We start from the raw sequence: 13,621 nt of genomic DNA on the forward strand, positions 1-13,621 counted from the left end.
GAGGAAGGCCTTTTTGAATGTACTTTGTTCTCTTCTTCCTCCCAAGGAGGACACTGGGTGGCAGAGGGGAAGCAGAGAGACTGGAGAGGCCGGCGAGGATGCTGGAGAGGAAGGGAGGCGCCACACTGTTGGTGGGGAGGAGGCCTTTGGAGGAAACGAATGATTTCCACCCCAAATCCTCTCACAACAAAGAGGCCCCTGCCGAGCCTTTTCCTGCCAGGCCTGGGCCTGTGAAGCTCCCCAGCACCCTCCGCAAAGAGCAAAGCCAAATGTTGACAGTCTCAAACCCTCATTTCACCACATCTTAAGGTAGCCCTAAATGCTTGTAGCTTTTCATTTAGGAGCAGGAAGAGAGATCCCCTTGGGAAACCACCCTTTGAAGGCATAAGCTCTAATGTTTAAAATCTGTTCACAAACTAGACATTTCTCTGCTCTCACTGGGGCAGCTGGTTTCCCTCTAAATAAATCACAGGGCTGGGGAGCATTTCAATGAGAAATCTTAGGGGTCTCCTTTCAACACTGTACAAAAAGCCCAGCCTCAGGGGAGCTGGCCTGGGAACACCTTCTGCAGGCTATAATCCTGCTCATGAACTCCTTTGGGATTGGTTTGTCTGGAAGGTAGATTTAGGAACATTGTGCAATCCCGACATTGCAAAAGGGCATCAGGGGTTGACCAGAGTCCCATGACATCAGAAGTCAAGCCTGGCAGATGGGCAGAGAGAGAGAAGTAGAGTCTCTGGGAAAGCATCCAGATGCCTCCTACCTTTGGCGGTCAGCACCTTAGCCATCCAGGGGCTCACAGAGTATGCATGGGAGGAAAGAGAGGAAGTGCAGCACTCAAACTTAACAGAATCTGAATAAGCCTCAAATGTAAAGACCATGTTGCTCTATATGGGAGATAATGGTGATTCAATGGGAGAGGCCAGTCAGGGGAGATAATCATTCAAGGGTCTTGTATGTGCTTGCTTAGGAGGATGCAGACAACACAGAATTCATGATCTTGCCCATATTGCTGCCAGCATAGTTACGACCATCTGGTTGGGGAGATAAGATCAAGACACTTGAAATTGGAAGCAGTGATTCTCTGGGGGCGGTTTGCCAGCATTAACGACAAGTTTAGTCTCTGGAATCTGATATCATGGTGTGAATTTTAGTTCCATCCACTTATCATCACCTGTATGACTTTAGGAAAGTTACTTAGTCACCAGGAGGCTCCATTTCCTCATTTCCAGTATGTACATCATTGTGCCCACCTCACAGGGGTGGAGTGCAGATCAAATGAGCTATCCTGGGAAGGCACTTGGCCCATAAAAGGTGCTCAACAAAAATTAGCTTTAGATACCTATTATCCAAAGATGAGATATAATTAAGCTCTAAAGTAGCATGGCCTAGAGTAACTAACAGCTCAGAGTAAAGAAAATAAGTTGGATTGGAGGAAGCTTGGAAAAATGGGTTAGATTTAGACTAGCGGTAGATGGGGGCAAAAATCATTGAGGAACTGCAGAAAATGAGAGAGCAAGCACAGACAGGGTGTTCCCCTTTACAGGCCAGTTTTGATGTAGGCCTGCCTAGAGTACAGGCAAGTTGACCATAGTGGGAAATTGGATTATTTTAAATGGGCAGAACCCGAGAACTGCACTGAGGCAAATCCAACTTACAATGACTGGGAGGAGGGTGAAGAGCAATGTGTAAGTCTCGGGGCAGGAGAGGATGTAGTGACAGTGGAGTTTCAGGGAGCCTAAAGGGGCAAGGATGGCAGGATAACCGCAAAGAGAGTCAGGTCAGCCAGCTAGGGTGACATGGTGGTGACCTGGGAGTGTGGCAGCCGGAATCTGAGACTATTACGACATTTACAGGGAACAGGAAATGAGATTTAGTGACACTCGTGTGCACAATGTATACACATTGTGGAATATAAAAGTCTTAAATTAATGCTTATGTTCGATCAGGTATTTTGGTTTTAAGGAACAGAAATGCACTTAAGTTAAATCAAGTAATTAGAGATTTGTACACAAGCGTGGGAACACAGGAAAAGCCAAATAAACTAACAAAAGGAGGCTCCAGAGAGACGGTAACCAGAGAGTCCTCTGTAACCTAAACGGCTCTAGTAAGATGTTTGCTGTTTCATTTTAGTCCCTACCAATCACAGCCTTAACTCCGCTCCATGTGTCTGAACAGCAGTCCTCTCACTTCTGACAAATTCCCTACCCTTTATAAATATATTTTCCATTCTTGATAGGTAATGAATGAATACTTTGCAAATATTAAATGAATGTTAAATGAATGTATTTTCTTTCCCCCTCAAATCCTATTCTTTGCAATTTTCCACCTTTCCACCTTTTTCCTGAATGTATTTTCTTTTCCCTTCCAAATCATATTCTTTGTAGGTTAAGCCATGAAACCCCCTTGTCCCTTGAGAAAATAATGGGCTTGAAAACCAGGCTTAGATGACAGGAGGAATTTTCAAAATCCCTTTTAGAATTTCAGGAACTAACTTGGATGAATCAGACCATAGAATTCCTCCTGAGGTATAGAGATGATACCCTTTCTATCTAATATGGCTTAGTCACAAGGCTTAACTAGTGATGGTGAAAGGATGGTAAGATGCAGGCGAAGACAAGGAAAACCCCACCCTTTCTAGCCTGAAGCACGGTGGGAAAAAGGAGAGAGGCAGAGATGGAAAGACTAACTTCCTCTTATCTCCCAACACCATCTCAAGGCCAAACTTCAAGGGCAGTGGGCAGCTTTAGGAACATCCAGGTAATTTGGGGTACTGAAGTGGCATGAGCATTTCGCTCCATACCATGCCTGGGACTCTAGGAGGCAGTCACTTCCCATGTTGCCCTCTGCACCTCTGGGACGACTTCATCAAGTTGTCCACCTGGAGGTGCCATGTGGTGAGATAAACTTCCTGATGTTTTACTTTTTGGGTTGGCTTTTGGTGCTCCAGTGATGTAGATTCAATGTAGAGGAAACAGAGTTTGGGGAGTTCTATTTCTCAGTAAGCGTGTTTTGATGCTGTGACAGACAAATGGGAGGCACAACCCTTTAGGAAGGGTTATTAGCATCAGTAAAGTGCGGTGAGGCCACATGAGCCAGGGAAGGCCATCAGCCACCACCCAAGCTACGAGAGGCTAGATCGCAAGTGGTACCAGCCGCCAATTGTAGCTGCAAGTACCAGTGGGGCCAGCCATGAGCAGCTGTTCAAGGTCATGGCTGTGGAGACTAGAGGAGACAAAGAATATTAAATGGCATTTGGGCCTCTTTCCCCTCAAAGCCCACAAGATCATATAAGCTCCAATCTGCCCTATAGCCCCAGACATCACATTGACAGAGAAGGAAAAGAAATAAGATTCTAAAAAATTGAGTAATGCCTAAGAATGTCAAAATTATTGCTTCAAACTAAGAACTAGACTAAAGCATGTTATTTTGGTTTGTTCCTTTTGTTATCCAGTGGGTAGGGCTCATTAACAAGATTAAGGCTGTTCTAAATCAAATAAAGAAGCTATATTTTGTCTGCATAGTGGAATTGTAGTTTAAATAAATGTATAACCTCATCGCCAGAGTGTATGTTTGCTCATAGTTTCCACTCCCCCTCACTTGAATATGATCCATCATGACATCCCAGCCAACTTCTCAATTGCTCTTTAAATCATAACCTACAACTTCACTTTTTACTCTTAAGCATCTGGCTTGCTCATTATTTATTATTTCAAGGACTCCCCCAGCCAGAGAATCTGCTTGCCCCAAGTTGTTTTTCTGTGCCAGGTTGTATGGATTGAGATTTGAATTTTGGGTTAGGAAATAGGGAGACGGAGCTACACACAAAAGAACTTCCAAGGAAGCATCTAAAGGTAGATAAATTAATAGTCAATTCTTCACTAGTTTGCCTATGGTTAACGTTATGACCAAAGGAGAACTGGGAAAAATGCCTTGTCAAGATATTGAAAATGTTCTGTCTTGACAACACGTTGCTTCCCTTTAAACCTCTCCACTTATGTAATTCTTATAAACCTCTTCACTTATGTAATTCCTACAAACCTCTCCACTTATGTAATTGTGATTGAGTTTTTCTACTACCAGAAATAAGCTTAGGGAGTTCTGTAAGTTTCATCTCTTTTCCTTATATAGGGAACCAGGGAATCAGTCCATTCTTTCTCATGCAGAATTTTATTTTTATAACTACTCAGATATTATAGTTAATAAGATGTTGCCATTATAGAATAGAATGATTTTCCAAAGAATTTAAATATATTAAAAGAGATCAACTAAAACGACACCATGCTTGAAGATTCAGAAGATAGTTCAGAATTTTGCAGTCTCTCTGGGTTATAAATAGAGAAATCAGCTATCATTGTTCTTTCTATGTGCATCTGAGGGAGTTTTGGTTAATAGTCGAAGTCAGCTTATAATGTGTATCTCATGTTGCATTTGTTCTAAGTTTCATTCCACCCAAAAGCAAATTCAGGGTGTCCTGTGGTGCATTTCCTACCTCATAAACATCTTTATCAGGAACTCCACATGTTCACACAGCGGGGGTATTGAGGTTCATTTAAGGGGAACCAACTGGAAAGCCCATTTTAGGTGATGAAAACTTTAGCATGAGCACAGGCTGATTAGCTGATGGCAAAGCCACATGATGCCCCCAGGGGTGTTGGGAACGAGAGGTGGCTACTGGTTTACTTGAACGTCTACCATCAGCTGAGTTTAAACCTGCCTTTTTCCCAGTTTATGTGTCAGTGGCAAGAGGAGCATGCTGATATAAGGATTTTGTAGCTGGCATCCGGTTTAAACCCGGGCATTGTTCTCTACTCAGAAATATCATATGGGTTTACCCAAGGCCAAACCAAGAGACCAGTGGAAATGAGAAGGCACAGGAAGTCTTTTTTTCCAGCACCACTCCTTAGTGTCATATGTCAAAAAAATGCACTTCATTATCAGTATCTGTAATTGTTAAAAAACAGATCATGATAGAGCCAAATTATAAAGGAATGTAGCTTCAGTTACAGTTGCAGATAGAAGGCAGCATATCATCCTTTATCCTATTGCCACAGTGGCTCATTCATTCATTAATTTTCTTTCAACAAGTACTTGGTGAACATATACTATATGCCAGGCTCTTTGTAAATTGCTGGATTACAAGTCTTCCCAATTGGTTTTTCTAAATTCTAGAAGGAGTCTCTCTTACCTCAGATTTATTAGGATATTTGTTTGTTTGTGGGATTTTTGCTCCCGTCACAGCTCAAAATCTGAGGAGAGAAGTATGTACAGTGAGCAGTCCTGAGCAGAGAGTTCAGTGAGGGTTAATGAAGGCTGGGGGCATCTGAGATTACATAGCCAGATGTTCAACCAGAGAAGGATTAAGGGGTGAGGCTTCTGGGCATTTCCCCAAGCACCTAATCTATAAGGGGCACTAAACAGTACTAGACACAGAAAAGAAAGGACACAAGTTTTTGCAAGAACTCTCCTCATGGATTGCATTCTGTGTGGCTGGAAGGAACACTTGGACAAGAGAGTTGGATTGGGGCAGGGGCAGATGAAAGTTTTGATTTCCTGAGTGGGGCCCCCATGCTCAGTTAGAAGAACTGAGTTGCTCAGGAAAACAAAAGAAACTGAGGGTGGACATGGTGGCTCACGCCTGTGATCCCAGCACTTTGGGAGGTCAAGGTGGGAGGATCACTTGAGCCCAGGAGTTTGAAACGAGCCTGAGCAAAATAGTGACACCCCATCTCTACCAAAAAATAAAATTACCCAGGCATGGTGCCATGCACCTGTGGTCCCAGCTACTTGGGAGGCTAAGGTGGGAGGATTGTTCGAGCCCAAGAAATGGAGGCTGCAGTGAGCTGTGATTGCACTACTGCACTCCAGCCTGTATGACAGAATGAGACTATGTCTCAAACAACACTACCACAACAACAACAAAAGAAACTGAGGACTCCCTACATATCTTCCCTCTCAGCTTTTGCCCTTTGTAGTGCACAGTCTCTCTTCTAAGTTAAACAAGTGTTTAAAGAGTATTAAAAAATTGTAAATTAGCTATACAAGGTGCCTGATTCCATGTTTAACCATCTTCTTGCTTCCCTGGGATCTACCATTTGTGTGGCTTGAAAAGGAGGAAGGCAGAAAGCCACATGAGGGCTAGAGGGGTGTTTAGACATAGAGGAGAACTCTGGCCCAATTTCTACCCCTGCCCTTCTGCCTGCAAAGCAGAGCAGGCTTTTGAAAAATGTGATGTGAGTCAATGTGTCTTGACCATCTCTCCTTTCTCCACTATGGCATCTCCCTTGCTCCAGGCACCCAGTGCAGTGGGTGTGAGCCCTGACAATTTAGAGTTCCCCAGGGTGGTTCCAGACATTCCGCTTGCCCACCCCTCATCACAATTTAATTGTTACCTGTTTGGTCCCTTAGGGCCTTACTAGGTGATTCTTACTAAAGCACTGGGTTCTAAAATAATGGTTGACTTTGGATCCATGTCTAACTTCTCCAGATAGAGACATAGAGTTCAAAAGCAAAGCATGAGAGATGGGTAGTTTATTTCAAAGGCATGCATCTATCATGGTGGGCTCTGTGACAGATGGAGAGAGATTTAGGGGTGTGTGCATCTGTCAGTGGCATGCTCAAAACCACAGCACCTGTGTGGCAAAAGAAGTTCCCATTCATGCCACAGGCCTCTTCCTTTAACCTCATTGGTTAAGTTCCAAGTGATTTTCAGCTGCAGTACAAACCAGAGGACATCAGGTTTTGTTAAATGTTCTTTCCCTGTTTTCCTTTTTAAACTTCTTCATCTGCTTACTGTAGCCCAGCATTTATTAGCAGGAGAGAATGGTTTTTCAGCCTCTTTTCATTTTAGGGGTAATACATTAGTGAGCTTTTTCCTCTACTGTGAACAACAGGTGCATGGAAATCATAGTCGGGGAGAACAGGCAGCAGCAATCAGACTAATACACTCTGCGGGGAGGAGGAGCGCCAGGCACTTTAATTGACTCATGCATTTGGGATCTGAGACCATTTTAAAAGATCTCAGTCTGTAGTAGAACAGTCTGTCAGCTTTCATTTGGGATTTTAAAGTGAACTGGGGAATATTACCTAGGGAGAAGAATTTTGTAAATGTTTTACACTAGTTTCTTATGATCATACATTAGAATTCAAAATATATTTCTTTAATCCTGTTGACAATTTTTCACTTGGAAAAGACTTGAGCAAAATAGCTCTTATGTGATTTCACTTGAACCAATAGGCCCCATTACCATTTGAAATAAAAATCCCCTTGAATTTAAGCTTTTTTTCTTCACTGTGGTGATTCATTTTTTATTTCTAATGGTTAATCTTGATTCCTGACATTTTATTTACCTTTTGTTAGTTCTCAAAATATTAAGAGTCATAGGCAACAACAGAAAGTGGAGCGTTTTATGCTTAATTCCTGATACAGAAATTTAGCAGAGTGTTTGGCTAAAGAGTTTCATGAGAAATAAACAGACACCTTTATGAACTGAGGTTTTCCATGAGCACATTCCCACATTGACCATCTCCTGGAGACAGGTAACATATCATTCTCTTCTGCATTTTTAAGAAAGTGTGAGAGGCATTAGCAACTATTTGCTAAAAGCACAGAAGCAAAGACTCTAAGTGAAGACTGAGAAGTAAACAGTTTGGCTCCAATGTATTTACATGGATTATTTAGTTTTTTTTTTTTAAATGTACTAGTCTATCTTATCCTTATTCTCTAATAAGGTAAGAGATGAAAAATTGCACTAATTATAACCATCAAATTTCAGTTTCTAAAAGAGACCTTAGAATAAGAAGGATCTAGCTAGGTGTGATGATATACACCTGTAGTCCAAGCTACTTAGGAGGCTGAGGCGGGAAGATCCCTTGAGCCTGGAAGTTCCAGGCCAGTGTGGATAACATAGCAAGACCCTGTCTCAAAAAAAGAAAAAAGAGTAAGATGGATCTGGCATTTACTGAATGCACAAAGAAAATAAAAATTCTATTATTCCAGGAATTTTTTAAAAATGAGTTTTTATTTGCTGCTGTCAAATGTGATTATGGAATTTGAAACAGGGTGGAACTCGAAAGCAGATAATGTAACTGAATATGAACTATTGAAATGCACTGAGGTAGTTAGGAAGGATGAAAAAGACCTACTGTTTGATAGCATAACAGAGTGACTATAGTCAATAATAATTGGACATTTAAAAATAACTAAAAGAGTATAATTGGACTGTTTGTAACTCAAAGGATTGCTTGAGGGCATGGATACACCATTCTCCATGATGTGACTAATTCACAGAGCATGCCTGTATCAAAACATCTCAGGTACCCCAGAAATATATATACATGTACCCCATAAATATATATATATGCACACACATAAACATTATATAAATAAATATATCTACTATGCACCCATAAAAATTAAAAAAAAATCATTGAGGGTCACTCTAGGAATATGTGTGTGTGTGTGTGTGTGTGTGTGTGTGTGTGTGTGTGTATGTGTGTATAATATCTTTCATTTCATAACAACGCAGTCTGTCAAACTTCCTTTTTTTATCCCATGGAATTTATAAATTGGGAGGAGCATTTTGCATACTTCATAATTAAATTAACTTTGATAGTCATTTAAATCTTTCAGTGAGATCCTGGAAAAAGAAGAGGCTAGAGGGACACAATCTGACAGTGCTGTGCTGAGGGTATATTGAGGAATATCTGTTTTTTAGAATCTGAACTACCAGAGGAAATGACTAAAATGAATGAACAAATATTACTTGGAGTGAAGATAAATAACAACTACATGGTCAGGGGCGGTGGCTCACGCCTGTAATCCCAGCACTTCGAGAGGCTTAGGCGGCCAGATCACGAGGTCAGGAGTTCAAGACCAGCCTGGCCAACATAGCAAAACCCCATCTCTACTAAAAGTACAAAAATTAGCTGGGTGTGGTGGCGGGCACCTGTAATCCCAGCTACTCAGGAGGCTGAGACAGGAGAATCGCTTGAACCCAGGAGGCGGAGGTTGCAGTGAGCCGAGTTCATGCCACTGCACTCCAGCCCGGGCAACAGGGCAAGACTCCACCTCAACAACAACAACAACAACAACAAAACAAAACAACTACACTTTGCCAAACACAATGCTATTCATATACAACATTTCACTGAGTCTTCACCAGACCTTGAGAGTAGGGGCTCTCATTCCCATTCTGTGGAGGGATGCTGCCCAGCTGGCCTGGCACACATATCCTCTGCTGGGAAATCCAATGCTGTCTGTCCTAACCCATGAGGCCTTCCCAGTAAATACCCTGCTACCCACAGTGGATAATTCTTCCAGCTACAAAAATATTTAGGTAGGGGTTGCCAGAATTAGCAAATAAAAATAGAGAACACCCTTCATATGTCCCAAATATTATGTGGGACATACTTAGACTAAAAAAATTTGTTGTTTATCTGACAGTCAAATTCAACTGGTGTCCTGTATTTTATCTGGTAACTCTAGGTAAGGGAATAATGGGAACATGTCACCTGAAGGAAAAAGTAGGTAAGGAATTGGAACCCAACAATGAGTCTAAGGTCCAATAAACAGTGAGGAATGTTCCTAAGGAACAAAAGATGTACCTGACTTATTCTATCAAATGAAGCTGTAGTAGAAAGTATGATGGTGGCGATATCAAGATGTGGGTAAACTGGAAAGAAGTATACTTGGGGTAAGCTTTCAATAAACAGGGACACTATCGAGAGTTACTCTTACCTAGGAAGGAGTCAGTTATTATTCCTTGGAGTAAGGCCTACCATTCTATCCCTAGTGGCTAATGCCCTGGACACCAACAGTAGCCATTCATTATATGGGTATTGAATGACTGAATTGGGAGAACAAACTTAGGAGTGACATTGGTTGCCATATATTAGCTCTGTCACTTTGATAAGGTTACTTAACATCTTTGGGCGTCAATGTCTTTATTTGTAGAATAGAATTAATATTATTGCCTTTTGCCCAATAAATGGCAGAAGTGGCTTGTCTTCTTCACTGTCGTCATCATCATCTTCATCATCATTATCTAGAGTAGGAACTGGTAAATGTTTTCTGTAAAGTCCCAGATAGTAAACATTGGAGGTTTGTTGGGCCATAATGTCTCAGTCCCAAGACTCAACTCTGCCATTATAGTCTGAAAACAGCGACAAACAATACATACAAGTATGAACATGGCTGTGTTCCAATAAAACTTTATTTACAAAAACAGGCATTGGGTCAGATTTGGCCTGAGGGCTGTAGTATGCCAATCCCTGATTTAAAGCAGGGCTCCTCAATCACCTCACAAATCTCCTCATTACAGGGAAAGGATGGGAAAAGAAGAAAGGAGGTGCCCCTGGAACCGGTAGATAAGCTGGAGCACCTTTCTAGCAGGAGGTGTGTAGAAGCCCCCACACCAAGTGTAAAGAAGGTGGTAGAAGACTTGGGTGTCAACTGTGTGTGGTGAATAACAATAGCCTTTTGGGAAGTCCTGATTTAGAAGAATAAGTAAGAAAGATGTAGCCTTTCTAACAAAACCTGGAGGGCAAGGGTTGGGTTTTACATACTTTCATAATAATACCTAACATACACTGGGTGCTCTGTTATGTGCTGGCTGCTGTGCTAAGCACTTTATATGCATTTTCTCATTTAGTACACCCCAAATTCTCAAGGAACAGGTATATTAGATAAGGAAACTGAAATTTGGAAAGACTCGTGATCATGGTTATCCAGAGTTCAATTTCAAGCAGTCTGACTCCAATGTCTGAATGCCTAACTCCCATACCATATTGCTTGTATCTTGTACAGGCCTAGCTCAGTACCATGTACAGGGCTGGATTCAGGACCATTCTATAACCATTCGTAGAACAAGCAAATGGATGGATGGATGGAAGGATGGATAGGGCTTTGATTTCTAGGTAAATCATTATCCATACAGTAGCTACTTGACCTTTGGCAGAATTGTTAACATGTTTATAAATAATCTTATGAAGCTATAGATTAGGTTTTCCAGGGAATTTGAAGGATTTTAGCCACAGGATGTCTCACACATTACCATAGTTTACTCGAAGTGTGAGGAATTTATCTTCTACAATTCAAATGTGGAGAATGGGGCATAGACAGATTATAGGCCTTCTTAATTGGAAAAAGTAAATAGTGAAAAAGCTAATGCAGTGTTATTCCAAAGAAGGGGTTTTCTTTACCAGGTTTGATGGGACAATGTAACTATCTGTCACAAGCATTTTCACAATTTTGTGGTGACTTACAGCAAAATATTAGTAGCTGTGTTGAATAAAAGTCTGCATTTTTGAAAAAGTGCAAAAGGAGACCGAGGTGGGTGGATTACCTGAGGTCAGGAGTTCAAGACCAGCCTGCCCAACATGATGAAACCCCGTCTCTACTAAAAATACAAAAATTAGCTGGGCGCAGTGGCACACGTCTGTAGTTTCAGCTACTGAGGCATGAGAATGGTTTGAACCTGGGGGAGGTTGCAATGAGCTTAGATGGTGCCACTGCACTCCAGCCTGGGTGACAGAGTGAGACCCTGTCTCAAGGAAAAGTAAATAAATGAATAAATAAAAAGAAAGAAACAGTGCAAGAGGGAAAAATATAGCTTATAAATAATTGATAAATGCCTGGTTTACTTTTTCATGTTTTTGCTTTGTTGGTTATTTTGAGGTTTTTTTTTTTTTTTAAATCCTTGCAATGTGTAGAGAAAGAAGGAAGTGAGAGAAATTAATTAATGTATTTCTCTATGTTCCCTTGGAGAATCATGGGCTTTGCATATTGAAAGTCATTTTCCTCTGATAATATGAGATTGTGCTGAAATTTCTGTAGTGGGACATGGGAAAGAGTGAGGCTGAGAAAAAGCATGAAAACCATCCCAAAGCCAGTGACTTTTGAGAATCTGGTGTGTACTAAGGGCTTGCTGGGAGACTAGTTTTGCAGCTTTTTCACTGCCTTTTCCAGAAACATCTGCTGCTAGTATTTTAATTGGTTCTTCTCATCCCCATAAATAGTCAATGACTTCTACATGATGTTGAGCTAACAAATCTTTTTCCCATTAAAAATGTTTTAAACTACAATAAATACACAAAACATAAAACTTGCTATTTTAACCATTTTAAGTGTATATACAATTCAGTGGCATTAAATAAATTCACAGTGTTGTGAATTATCACCACCATCCATCTCCACAACTTCTTTTAATCTTGCAAAACTGAAACTCCGTACCCATTAGACTAAACTTCCCATTCCCCTCTCTCCCTAGCCCCTGACAACCACTATTCTACTTCCTGTCTCTACTAGTTTGACTACTCAGATACTGTCTTAGTTCATTTTCTGTTGCTTATAACAGAATACCCCAAACTGGGTAACTTATGAAGAATAGGAATTTATTTCTTACAATTCTGGAGGCCGGAAAGTCCAACATTGAAGGGTCGCATCTGGTGAGAGCCTTATTGCTGGTGGGGGCTCTCCCTGCTGAGTCCCAAGGCGGTGCAGGGTATCACATGGTGAGGGGCTGAGCATGCTAATGTGCTGGTTCGGGTCTCTTTTATAAAGCCACCAGTTTCCCTCTCAGGATAACACATTAATCCATTAGTCCATGAATGGATTATTCCATTCATAAGGGCAGAGCCCTCACCACCCAATCACCTCTTAAAGGCCCTGCCTCTCAATATTGTTACATTGGGGATTAAGTTTCAACCTGAATTTTGCACGGGACATTCAAATCATAGCAGGTACCTCACAGAAGTGAAATAATACAGTATTTTTTTTTGTGACTGGCTTGTTCACTTCGCATAATGTCCTCAAGGATATACATCCTCAGAGCTGTCTTTCTTGACACTCCTAAGTGATAGCCCTCTAAAAGTATTCCCATAACATGATGAACTTCTCTTTTATACAATTTTTGAAAGTTGTGATATTTAAGTTAAAAATGGGTATTTAACAGGCTGTGCAACTATGATGTCAAGGAAGGGTAGGGAATTCAGGCATAACCAACTCCAGCATTTCCAGCAATGTCCCAGGGCCTCTCTGCTGTGTCCTGTGTTGGTTTCTTTCTAAGCTAAGCATTCTGCTCATGGCGGAGATTGTGTTGTCCTCACAGCCAGCCATTTAAGCTTAAAAGGTCACAGGGTGATTTGTCATTTCTATGTGTGATGATGTTTCTAGTGTCTGCCTCCTTCCCTGGATGGCAAGGTCACTTTTTACCCTACATCCCTGGCACATTTCCTGGCATACAGTGAATGAATGGAAGGTTAACAAGACCTAAAAGATTCACGTGTGAGGAAAGGAGAGGAAGGAGACAAGACTAAACTGGGAGGCATGATGCCTTTAGGATGATCGCTTTCTGTGGAGAAGTTCCTGATTCTTTAAAATTAGAATGCATTTGATATAAACTACACAAAGGCAGATGGTTTCAAAATCAAAGCTTTGAGAAATTGAGACCTTATTTCAACAATTGCTGAAATAAGAAAAAGGTTCTTTTAAAATATACTTTATTTTAAAAACAGTTTTCCATTGTTAAACAATTGAGAACTGAGTGCAGAGCTCCCATCTACCCCACACCGAGATTCCCCATTATTAATATCTTATATTACACCATGGTACATTTGTTAC

General features: G+C 41.2%; 1 protein-coding gene across 1 annotated transcript in view; it reads left to right on the forward strand.

The window, feature by feature from the left end:
• UPP2 (uridine phosphorylase 2) overlaps positions 1 to 13,621 on the forward strand; it is a 140,976-nt gene that overhangs the window by 47,529 nt on the left and 79,826 nt on the right. The window lies entirely within an intron of this gene.

The sequence above is a fragment of the Homo sapiens genome, chromosome 2 (assembly GCF_000001405.40).
Source record: "Homo sapiens chromosome 2, GRCh38.p14 Primary Assembly".
NCBI lineage: Eukaryota > Metazoa > Chordata > Mammalia > Primates > Hominidae > Homo > Homo sapiens.